Genomic DNA, 12,625 nt, shown 5'->3' on the forward strand with positions numbered 1-12,625 from the left:
TCATCCAAAATTCATTTCTGACGTGGTTTTATTTTTCCCTTACACTCTGCATTCCAGACCACATTTCTTCCTATGTTTCCATATACAAGGGAGAGAAAGAAGCTAAATTTTTGGAATAAGCAATTTCTCTACAGGGAGTCTCAAGGCTGTACTCATATCAAAACTAAATAACCTCTCATTCTAAGGGATGTTGGTCCCTCAGGCCAGAGCTTAGGTCATTAGGAGGGCAGGAGGGGGAAGCATAGAAACTGCTTCCATCCATCCTATCCTGGTCCACACACAGACAGACACTCTCGGCCTCCTTTAGTATTGGGCCAAGCAGGCTTCTCCAGCTTCAAGAGTCACCTCACAAATTCTGACTTCCTTTGTATGGGTTTCAAAGAATTTAAGGATCTTCCCCTTTGTCAACTGATGCAATGCATGGAAAACCCTTTGTCAATGGGAAAGTGGCCTAATCAAATATGATGTCTTATGTATTGCATATTTTCCACTGTTCAGTTTTTATAAAACTGTATCCAGGAAGGATCCAAATAGACATCTTGAGAAATGATTGCAGCTTGTGATAGATACATTTCTCTTCTGCTTGTTGTCAGCCATATTCACTTAGAGCTTGATAAAAGTAGATCGACTGTGATCTTAAACATTCAGACGCTCTATGTAAGATCACAAACTTAATTCAATATGCATTATAAAGGGGAGGAGTGGAAGAAACTTTTCACTTATTAGATTTTCCACAAAGCTGGTAGATTTTTAAAAATAAAGTTCATATTTAATAGAAATTAAATATCTAGCATGTTCATACAATTTAAAGTATCAAGCTTAGTATTAAAAGTAAGTACCAAATATAGCAAGATATTGTCAAAGAAATTCAAGCTGCAAATACTATAAAGAAGCTACAGGGAATTGTCCAGGGTAGGTTATAGGTGATACCACATTTAGCAGTAAATTTTGTTTGCACTGTAGCCTTAGTCTGGAGAGAAAGGAGGAAAATGGCTAAGACATTCTGGATATTAAAAATAAAAACAGCAGCAAAAGAAATCATCTAGTGAAACTTTGGAACTGAGTTCAAAAGCAGACCATGAAGCAGTTAATCGCTTCTTCTCTCCCTAGTCACGCTAGACTGTAGTGAGAATTACTGTAAGATTTTTGCAGCTAATTGAAGCAAAGGGGACACAGTCAATGTGCTGTTTTCTTTGGTGCAGAACGTTCTTGGTATTTTTGCTGCCACTTGAAATCAAATCCCAGCTGCATTCATTTAAATAACCCATGAGCCCAGGACACTATTTGGGCCAATTTGCATGTGTGAGTGATTCTACCCCAGGTGGTATCCATTTGGTGAATGATTACCTGGCCACAGACTGGCTTTCACCACTGGAGATGCTTCCATTCTTGATCATCCATTGTACTCCCTGTACCAGAAACAATAACAGAAGAGAGCCAAGCAGAACTGTCTCAGAGCTGTCACCTTCTAAGAGAAATTATCTTTTGGAACTTTCCTCTTCTGTTCTTTTTTTTTCTTCTCCCCTACAGATTGAAATTTCTGCTTTGAATTGTCCCTGTAGAAATTTGAGACATTGATCTTCATTCCACTTGTTCTCTTCTTCTTAGCCCTCCCTTTTATGCAAGTTTCAACCAACAACTATTTTCCAAAAGGCAGAAGACCTCTACTATTTCCCAGCCCTCATACTTCACCTATATTTGGAGACCTTAATTTCTGGAACAGTACTCCCATGAACCAATGATGATAACTCATTCATACTGTTCCGCCACTGAGGCAACGCTTCATAATGTCAAAGGGCATGCAGTTGCCTGGACCAGCAGAGAAGCCTTTTCAGCTGTTTCACGTAGTGGATTAGAGCTCAGATTTAGAGCCAACTTCAATTTCAAATATCAGCTTCACCCACTGTAGGCTGTGGTATCCCATTCAGGTTCCTTAGAGTGTCTCACCCTGTTTTTTCATTCACCAAAATGGTTAGTAAGACCTCCCTCACGGGGATGCTGTGAGGTTGAAATGAGATCTGTGTGTAAAGCACTGAGCACAATGGTGGACACTTGGCAAATGCTCAGTGAAGCTGGCTTTATTAACAAGGGGCTATCCAAGAGACAGAGTATCCTTTTTCCCTGTTACCATCAGTCACCTCTCAATCACAAAGAGTTCCCTTTTCCAAAAGGCCAGGTCTGTCCACAGATGTCTTTATTGTGTTCTTGTATATGTTGTCTGACAAAACCAAGCTGCAAGGAGGTTTGGCTCAACAAAATGGCATGCCATCATTTATTAAACTTTGGCAAAAGAGGATTCTGTTCTCCATAATTCACATCCACTTGAAATAATTTCACTTGACTTCATTAAGCTTGAAGGATTGCACTTTTCCTTCACCCCTTTCTTCCTCGTAGTTACTTAGCCTTTACAACTCAAAAGATAATTGCTGTATTAACAAATGTTTATAGCATAATAAAGGAGTGGGAGGAAGGCGAAGGATTTTTTTTCTATCTGGGCTATTCCCTTTGGTTTCTTGGAAGTACTGGATAGCAATGGAATAAGTCATAGATAATTTTTGGAAATCAACCAAAGGATTAATTTTCCAGCCACCAGTAAACAGTTCTTAACCGGAGACCCTAAGACTTTGTGGGGAATGAGGCTACCAGGAATTCCTAGTGGCTAAAAGGATGTCACCACAACTCTGAGCTGGGAAGAAATCCTGACTTTACTGGAAATCAGGAAAAGACTCTGGAAGGTACTGGTAGGGCCTGTGGAAATCCCCCTCTCAGTCCTTGGGTTGGGGGATTTAAGAGAACCTTCTAGAGAATGCTCCCCTTTTCTTTAGGCTAATGAAGCATTGAGCTATTTACATAGAAATCTCATTTAACTGTGTGTTACAGGCTGTAATGTCCCCCTTGCCCCAAATTTATATGTTGAAGACCTATCCCCCAGGACTTATGAACATAACTACGTTTGGAAATATGGTCTTTAAAGAAGCAATCTAGCTAAAATGAAATCATTAATCCAATAGGACTAACATCCTTATGAGAAGACAAGATTAGGACACAGGCATGAACTGGGGGAAGACCATGTAAAGACACTCAAAGAACTGACCCTACCACCCCCTCGAGAGAGGCCTCAGAAGAAGCAACCCTCCTGGCACCTTGATTTCACACTGCTAGCCTCCAGAACCATGAGAAAATGGATTTCTGTTGTTTAAACCACCCAGTCTATGGTGTTTTGTTATGGCAGCCCTAGCAAACTAATCCACTGTGTGGAGGGACACAGGAAACACGCCTTCATGACTGGGGAAGATGATTCCTTCATGGTCCCTTTAAAACGTTCAAAAGGCTTTACAAGGAGTATCTCTGATACTAGGAAACTCAAAGTGGGTACATGGTAAAAAAGGTTCAGGAGTCAGAAGTGATCCTGCTCATGCAATTCACCTCCTTGCAGTGACTTTGCTCTATTGGTTGATAACTGGAGTCCTGGGCTGTCTTTCCTCTCTCTGTATATATAAGGGCCATTGACAGTGAGGGATGCACTTAGCGCTCTGCTCAGTCCTTGGCTTTTCCCTCTCTCTCCCCTCTTCTCTTGCTTTCCCCAGAACATAAACTTTGATTAGTCTTTGACCCAGCCATAATGTTTTCCTTGTGAATTATAAGTGAAATTATATCATCGCCAGTGTTCGAGCCCTCTCCTCACCTCTCTGACCCTGAAGTTTTCTATGAGCTTGCTCACATGATAGGGAAATGATGGCAAGAGCTTTGGTAAAGAGACAAATTTTGCCCTACAACAGATCACTTATGTCATACTTGGGCAAATCTTTCTGAAATCCCTCAGTTTCCCCTTCTGAAAAATATAGAGTTGAGGCAAAACTATCTTTAATATCCCTCCAGCATTACCATGCAATGATTATAATCCATCTGCTTCACAAAAATGTACACAAATATACTCATAGATACACACATATATATCTTCCCTCAGGTCATGAATGCATAGCTCATTCTTGAAGATCAGTTCGAGTTCAAGCATGGAACGCTGTGCATTCTGTAAAATAATGTAAGCAATAAACTGCACTTGCAGAAACCAGTCATTAATGGTCCCAAATAGAAAAATAAACTTTTCTTTGTACTCATGTTTTCAAGTGCTGTAAAAATGCTTGCCCTAAGTCTCAGATATAATAAGTCATAATTTAAGAGATATGGGTAAAAATGCTTGAGCCAGATGTTTGCTTTTTTTTTTTTTTTTTTGAACACACACGGCTTGTTTGCCTTTTACCCACTGCAGCAGTTCAGCCTCAGAGGATAACTAAGAAAAACCTCTGAGATTGTTAGAGGGGAGCTTCACCTGCCAGTCTGGGCTGCAGGATCTCTATAGCAACCAAACATAAATCAAGGAAATGGCCCCTTTTGTAAGTTGGTTAATAGGCACAACATGCTTCTTTAGAAAATCCAACCATTCTTTCAATAGACTTTGATTGAAAGTCAGCCTTTTCTTCAGACACATTCACATTCACATCTAGTAGCAGCTTGTATGGCTGTCCACGGGCTAATTTATTACCCTTTAAAGATCTGGCAAAGAAAAAATGGCTCTCAGAACAATGTTTACATTCAGAGGCATAAGCACAGAGGCACAAAAGAACATCCTTTTGTTCTGAACTTGGAATATTAATCTTTAACCCAGGACTTTAACTTTCCCTCTCTTATGGGGATTGACAGAACCACTCCTCTCACTAAAATTTTACCAATTTAATACAACGTTGTTTCTAACATGTGAGAAGGGGGTAGTGAGTCTTCCTCCCACTTTTTTTTTTTGCCAAACCTTGATAGAGATTAATTGTTTCTCAAACTCCCCATCCTTTTCTTGAAGAATACCCTGCTTCAGGGGTTGCTGATGAGCAGAGTTGGCTCTCTTGTCCCCAGTAGGAGAATTTGACAAATTAACAAAAATACAAAGACTGTTCTTCACTGCTGGCGATGCAGCGAGTTTAGGGCCATTGGATGGTGAGATAGCCCCTTCCCACCCTCACCCCACCAAAATGTAATTTGGAAATGTGTCCAAGAAATGTCCCACATTGAGCAAGTCCTCCCCGATGTCACAGAGTCTAAAGGCAAAGTGGGGCACACACAGCATTTTCTTTCATGTGGGCAGGGACATGTCACTAAGTGAATGGTGAGCTTTCTCTCAAAGAGGGGAGCCAAATGCTATGCCCCGTCTTCCTTTGAGGTGGGAAGAAGAGATGGGGAAAAGCCTATAGAAACAAACCTTTGTAGTTTTTGTTAAAGTAGATTATAAGATGAAAAAGTTCTTCTAAAACAAGAGAGAGCTTGCGTTGCTCTATGTAGCTTCATATCCCTGACAGAGTTAGGCAAAGAAAGATTTATATTAATGCCTTCCTCTTTAGCTTTCTTAATCCTCAGAAACCAAAGTCTCCAGAAGCTAGACTCCTCAGGAGCTCCTTTCCCTTTGATATGGTCAGCTGTCCCCACTGGCAAGTGGGGAAGAAAGAGCCCTGCGTTGGTTTCAAAATGGGCATGTTTAAACGTGCCCTTGATTTTAGCTGCAGGCCTGTGTTATGAGAAAACATGGTCCTGCCCTATTCGAGGCTGGTCACTTAGAAATAGCTTTTGCCTTAGTGTCAGCCTGAAAATACCTTTGGGGTCTGTGAAACTGAAGACGCTCCCAAAATTTAATGCAAACTAAGCATGATGTGTTCTCCGCGAGAGCCAAAAAGATCCTAGACACTCAGTAAAGGAGGTTGGTTTTGTTTTTTGTGTGTTATTTTTAATTTTTTTCCTGTGGCTGAGAATCCAATGCAGACAAAAGATTAGCTCTCCTAGTTATTCACAGCCTGGCTGTGCAGTCACGCAACCAGATCAGACACGTTATGTAGAATTTTTCGCCGTATACCTGTATCTGTATTCTGATACGTTACGGAGAAGCAGTACAGTACTGTAGTTAAAAATGTGGGCAAAGGCTCTGAATTTTCAGTGTTCAAATGCCAGTTATGCCACTTACTGGCCGTGTCAGTCTGGGCAGTGAGCACCTATCTGTACTCAGTTTTGTCATTTGTAAGATGAGGCTATAATAATACCTACTTCATAAAGTCCTTAAGAGTTGATGTTTTATAATGAACCACTTAGACCAGTGCCTGGCATATCACAAGCCCTCAAACGTTCATTGTTATTAACATTTTTAATGCTTCTTTTTGTAGTTGATGCTATTGTATTGTTGACGATGGGAAGAATGCCTATTACCCAACATACAACACAGCATTTTCCAATTTCAGATGATATTTTGCAGAACACTGGACAAGAGAAAAAGAATTTCCCGAGGCTAGAGTTACTCCATTTAAAAAAAAAAAAAAAAAAAAAGTTCAGAGATAGGAAGCAGCTGTCTATGACAATAACTAATCCCATTTTCCTAAAACCATCATCACCTAGTATCTCTATCTTTGCTTTCGTCTGATTAAATGGAAATGTCTCAGGTTTAGGAGTTCTGGCTAAAAAGGTGGTATGTGTTTGTCTTCTGCCTGTTCTCTGCCACCAAAATGAAGAACTGGTTCTGCTCACCTACCCTAGCCAGCCTCACAGGGTCACAACCTAGTTGCATTTTTGAAATTCAAGCCAAGAATGCTGGAGCTCAATTTCACATGTGTCGTAACTGGGAGTGGCTACTCATGGCTCATCGGTTGTCTGCACCCTTCTCATTTGTTCTAAGGGCTTTGTTACTTTGAATAAGCCTTCTTAGCTTCAGCCCAAGTATCACAGAGACAATAACTTCGGAGGAGGTAAGGAGGGGATGTTCACCGAAGGATTCACCGAGGAAAATGCAGCCTGTTTCCCAGGAAAGAGCTCCACATCTGTAAGAATTCCATGAACAAGTCAGAACTTGCCAAAAGGATCAGCATAATCAAAAAACCAAAGAGGACTGAGATAAACCAAAAAACACCATATGTTGATTATGTTGTCATTCGTTAAGAATTAAGTTTATAAACCTTGGGTACTCACTGAGAAGCAGCATATTCTAGTAGGAAAAGTCCAGGTTTTGAAGAGAGACATTTGAACCACAGGAACTTAACTTTAGTACTTACCGCATGGCCTTAGGCAAGTCCTGGTAGTGAATTCATTCTCTCTACCAGTCAGCATCCAATAAGGAAAAATAAATGCCATTCCAGCTATTTCTAGCAGAAGGAATTGAATATGGGGAGTTGGTCATACAGTTGATGTAAGAGCTAAAAGAGGAAACTGCAGAATGGGGCCACCCAGACATTAGCTACAACAGAAAGCCACTACCCCTCTCCCAACCCAGGCTGAAGGGACTACAGGAAGAGATGGTGCTGTTGGAGGTTAAGATCTGGGGCAGACAGTGGGAGCTAAAACCACAGAGGAAATTCAGTCACTGTGGGAGAAGCCACCTAAGGCAGAGGGAGAGAGGAGAGAGACCATAGCTTCTCTCCTTCCAACGGCCCGTTGGCGGAAGCTTCCTAGAAGTCATTTGGCAATGTATTCGTGGCCTCCCAGTCTTTTCTCCTACTGTTTCTGTAAAAGAAGAGAGAGGAGGAAGAGGGAGTGGAGGGGGGAAGGAAGAGGAAAAATCACCAGCTTTGCAGATTTGCTCTCAGATTCATTCCCTGCCTTTACCCTGCTCTGGTCTTTATCACAGGGTATCGAGGTGTATACACAGATAATAGTGCCCCAGTTAGCCCTTTACTATGTGATTAGTCCTGCTGTGTCTCATGGAAAAAGTATTTCTGCTTTTTTCTCGAAAGACAATCTGTCCATTTTCCCAAAAGAGTAATATGTTACCCAAATTATATAGACTATGTGTTACCACTTACCGTGTAACTCTCATATGCTAGAGGGGCAACATGGTACAGTAGTTAAGAGCAAGAGCTCTTAAGTACTTGTGTTCAAATCCTGGTTGTGCTTGCTTTGTGACTGTTGGGCATTTTAACTGCTATGGTCAGAATATTTGTGTGCCTCAGAAATCCACATGTTGAAATCCAGTCCCCAATGTGTTGGTATTAAGAGGTGGAGCTTTGGGGAGGTGATGAGGTTCTGCCTTCATCAATGGCATTAGTGCCCCTATAAAAGAGGTTTGAGGGAGACCCCTTTGTCCTTCCACTATGTGAGGATGCAGTGAGAAGATACCATCTATGAAGAACAGAACTTTACCAGACATCAAATCTGCTGGTACCTTGATCTTGGACTTCCCAGGCTCCACGACTGTGAGCAATAATTTTCCATTGTTTATGTATTACCCAGTCTAAGGTATTTTGTTATAGCAACCTGGACAAACTAAGACATTAACCTCTCTGGTCTCTTGTTTGTATGATGGGATTAAAAAGAGTCCCAGCCTCATGACACTTTTATTTTATTTGCCTAATATGTAGGGCTGTGTTCTTTTAAGTATTAAATGAAAATTCTCCCAGGCCTAAGATTCGATATGTCAGTGGCCCACTTTTATTGCTGTGATATGTGGACAAGATGGGACTATTTCTCCTTTGGTTTTGACTAAGACACTCACATGCTAGATAATGAATACCAATCTAAATGTAAGGCAGATCACCAACAGCAGAAAATAATATGTTGAGAACAAGTTCCATGACCCTTAGGCCCTTTACCACAGCAGCTAGACGGAGAATTCTGAAGTATCAGGACGGGAACAAGGATATATGGAGATGGAGGATTTATTTAGAGAAAAGGGAGCTTTGCCTCACACACCAAATGTGTTTCTCAAAAGTGCATCTTGTTGGCTCAGTAAATTTTCATGGTTTTCTATATTAGAGACTTAGGATCTAGTTGAATCAACTGTCTAAGCAAAGTATGTTCAAGGATGCCTAATCTTACATAATAGAATGAGCCCTAGGGACATCCACCAAAAGAGGCAAAACTTGAGATGAGCCTTGAAAGAAGAAACTTAGAAGAGGGTAAGAAGACACATACATCATGAAGTATTCCAGAAACAAGGAAAGATCCTCTCAAACCCACAGTAGAAAATTCAAAGGGCAAGGCAGCCTGGAGTCTGCCAAAAAGGCTTTTTTTTCCCCCAAAGAAGCTGGTAACTAGGGTTTTGCTGGAAGTTCCTACTTAGAGGAAAATTAAGCTATCTATGTCCATGGGAAATGAAAGGTGGGAAGTAACTTCACTATTTCCTAGCTTTCTGGGAACTCGGGCAAATTATCTCTGTGCTTCTGTTTCATCATCTGTAACATGTTGATTTTAATTGTACCTACCTCTTGAAGTCGACATGAGGTTGAAATGAGTTCATACATGAATATATTTAGCATGGTAGCCAGCAGGTAGTAAACATTCAAAAATTCTTAGTTTAATTATTGTAATTATTCAGTGGTAAAGGTCTGGCAGAGAAAGAATGAAATTATCTGGATTACTGGAGGGGGAAAAAAACCCTCACTCTAACTGGGAGGGTCAACTTATTCCCTGTCCAAATTGTTTACTGTTTAATTCAGTTCTCAGAATGGATCTCTAACTCTGACCCATGAACCGGTCCATGTATTACTAGTTAGAATTTGGAAGTCCCATTGCTTTTGTTCACCTGCCTGAATCCATAATATATTTAAGTGAGCCAGACATCTCACTTGCATGCTATCCTAGCAGTGCTTTACTTCTAAACTGCCCTGGACAAGATATTTTGCAGGAGTGAGAAGATATGCCTTCAGTGTCATGGGCAGTCCGTGAGGCTCGTGGACTGAGAAGATTCCTAGAGACTTTGAGTTTTGTGTAGGGCTCTCATTTCCTACCTAGATAGTGTCTGTGAAAGAGCTAAATGGATTCTACAATGGCTAAAGACCGAAGTCTTTTATCTGGCCTGTGTAGACTTATAAGAGTTCCATGTATATAAACTTCAGGAAATCCATGAACTCTGTGATGGTATGCAAAATGGTATGTTCCCACACAAGTGTACATCTTAGGAGAGGATTAATTGCTTTCATCATATTCTCAAATGGTTAACAAATAACTCAGGATAAAGTAAGGGAATTAAGGTCTAGATATTTTACCAGCAGAATAATTAGACCTATAACTGAAACATAGAATTAGAGGACAAAAGGAGCTTACAATCAGTTCACTTAGCCCTACAACCTTTCCCTCCCTATTCCTGATGTTGCTTGAAAAACTGAGTACTCAGAAGGTATTCTTTTTTTTTTTTTTTTTTTTTTTTTTTTGACTTACAGCTTACTTTTAATTTTGTCTTGGATTTAGACTGGTCAAAGGTATTCCTGCTTCCTCCACAGAGATGTAACATTATATGAATTCATAAGAATCATGGTTTGTTTGTTTTCTTGTAATCTGAAACAGCTTTTATCAAAAACCTAATTCATAAAGAAAAGCTAATCATGTACAGGGAAAAGCAGATCTTCGTGGGGATTTTTTTCCTTTATCAGCGTAATTATAGTCTTATTTTTTCTTTTTGTTTTCTCCCCTGTTAAAAGCAAGAGATGGTCCCATTTTTTCCCCTCATTCCCCAGTCTAGTCTCATGCATGGGACTAATTTGACAAGACAAATCATTGGAAGAACATTTATCTTTATCCAGGAGGTTGTTTTCAGAAATTTTTTGATGTTGTCCTAGATTTCTACTTTTTTAGAGGCTTTTTGAAATGACAGATGGGCTCAACTGCTTTTAATGCCTGGTGGGGTGAGGAAGAATTGCATTCACTTATGTGTGTGTGTATACATATGAGAAACATTAATTTTTAATTTACTCTGTTTACCTTGAGAAACTGCCAGTGAATGATTCAGATATTCCACAGAAAGGGACTTTCTTTTGTAATATAGGACAAAAGACAGCTAAGCATGTGTTCTTTCTTCAAAGCAGAGGTTCAGGGTAGGGGGAATAGTATTTATTTGTGCAGCTTACAAAAGGACTACTTTGACTATGTAAACACTCACGTAATTTTATTAAGAGTTGCTACCAAATCTTTTTTTTTTTTTTTTGAGACGGAATCTCGCTCTGTCACCCAGGCTGAAGTGCAGTGGTGCGATCTTGGCTCACTGCAACCCTTGCCTCCCGGTTTCATGCAATTCTCCTGCCTCAGCCTCCTAAGTAGCTGGGGTTACAGCCACGTGCCACCACGCCTGGCTAATTTTTTATTTTTAGTAGAGATGGGGTTTCACTGTGTTGGTCAGGCTGGTCTCCAACTCCTGACCTCGTGACCCACCTGCCTTGGCCTCTAGTACATGCTTAAAAACTCAGCTTAGATACAGAGATAGAGAGCCAGAGCAGGCTGTGCCGACATTCCTTTAATTCAACAATTCTTTGTGTGTCTGTGTTTCAGAATCAAACCCCAGGATGGTGATTTGCATAGTGGTGAGTTAAGCTGGCCTCTAATTTTTAGTCCCGGGTATGACACTAGCTTTGGGGATTCCAGCAATCTTCCTCCTCTGTCTTGTACTTGGGTGTCTCAGGAGGTCAGATGCTTGGGGCCTACTGATTCCAAGGAGGAGAAAAACTTCTCAGCTTCCCTGAGGGGGTTGAGGATGAGAATTGGAGCATTCTAAAGGGATTTCTAATAACTTACGTTTACAACCTGATTCATGGACATGGAGGCTTAACTCTGCCCAATTGTCCAAGAACCCCTCAAGGATTCCCTCAGAGTGAAGGTGGGGTTGGGAGCCAGATGTGATTCCAAATTCCTGGAGAGACCTGGAATACCTGAAATACCCATATTAAGACTCCCTTGTATGATTATGCTAACGTGCATTCCACATCTAAGGGGTCACTGTTCACATCACAGATATCATAGACTTGCATAGTTATTTAAACAGCTTTCTGGCAATGGCATTAAGGTGACTTGTTCTTACAAGGTCAGTGTATTAGCCCAGGTTTACATAATGTAAAAACTGTTTATTATTAGTTTGGGGGTTTTATAATAAATAAGTAACGTTTAGTGAGTATTTACTGGAGAATGGTGGTTGACCTCTCCCCTCAGGACAGACTTCTTAACCTCAATTCAGAGAATCCCTCAACTTTAATAGCAAAAAAAGAAAGATCCATCTTCATTCTCACTGCAGCCTCGACATTTTCAGGCCCAGGTGATCCTCCTACCTCAGCCTCCCAAGTACCTGGGACTACAGGCATGCACCACCATGCGTGGCTAATTTTTGTATTTATTTTGTAGAGAAAGAGTCTCACCATGTTGCCCAGGCTGGTCTCAAACTCTTGCACTCAAGCAATCCTCCCACCTTGGCCTCCCAAATTGCTGGGATTACAGACATGAGCCACCACACCTGGCCCACCTCACTCGTAAATGAAATTTGAAATTATGAATGGAAGTAACCACAGTATTACAAGCAGTGCCTGGTATGATTTTCTTCATATCACATTTAATTGTTGCAATATTTCAATTTTTTAAAAAGACGGTTATTTTTAAAAGTTTTTAAAAGACCATACAATTGGTTTTCTTTATAATCCAATATGTTTTATTTTAGGAACATTATTCTGAGAAGAAGTTTACAACCCTCAGCAGCCTACTAAAAGGTCTGTGGCACCAAAAAAAATAAATAAATAAATAAATAAGTTCAGAGATTCTGCTGTAGGAAGTTAAAGACTAGAAAATAGTAATTTCTTTATCTTTCCTGTTCAAGAGTAATTTGCTTTTGCCCCCTTGCAACTGACTGTGG

At 40.5% G+C, this 12,625-nt stretch overlaps 1 protein-coding gene across 1 annotated transcript in view, besides 2 other annotated features; it reads left to right on the forward strand.

Moving 5' to 3' along the window:
* Window positions 1-12,625, forward strand: part of RARB (retinoic acid receptor beta) — a 768,612-nt gene that overhangs the window by 457,941 nt on the left and 298,046 nt on the right. The window lies entirely within an intron of this gene.
* Window positions 4,153-4,742: an enhancer, noted in NCBI's record as "OCT4-NANOG hESC enhancer chr3:25332905-25333494 (GRCh37/hg19 assembly coordinates)". NCBI's record gives its function as "activates a minimal SCP1, AML or CMV promoter by ChIP-STARR-seq in primed H9 embryonic stem cells {active_cell/tissue: H9 hESC(primed)}" and the evidence as "EXISTENCE:reporter gene assay evidence [ECO:0000049][PMID:30033119]".
* Window positions 6,592-7,791: an enhancer, noted in NCBI's record as "MED14-independent group 3 enhancer chr3:25335344-25336543 (GRCh37/hg19 assembly coordinates)". NCBI's record gives its function as "activates an origin of replication core promoter dependent on BRD2, BRD4, P300/CBP and CDK7 cofactors, and independent of MED14, by STARR-seq in HCT116 cells {active_cell/tissue: HCT116}" and the evidence as "EXISTENCE:reporter gene assay evidence [ECO:0000049][PMID:35650434]".

Source organism: Homo sapiens, chromosome 3, assembly GCF_000001405.40.
Source record: "Homo sapiens chromosome 3, GRCh38.p14 Primary Assembly".
Taxonomy (NCBI): Eukaryota; Metazoa; Chordata; class Mammalia; order Primates; family Hominidae; genus Homo; species Homo sapiens.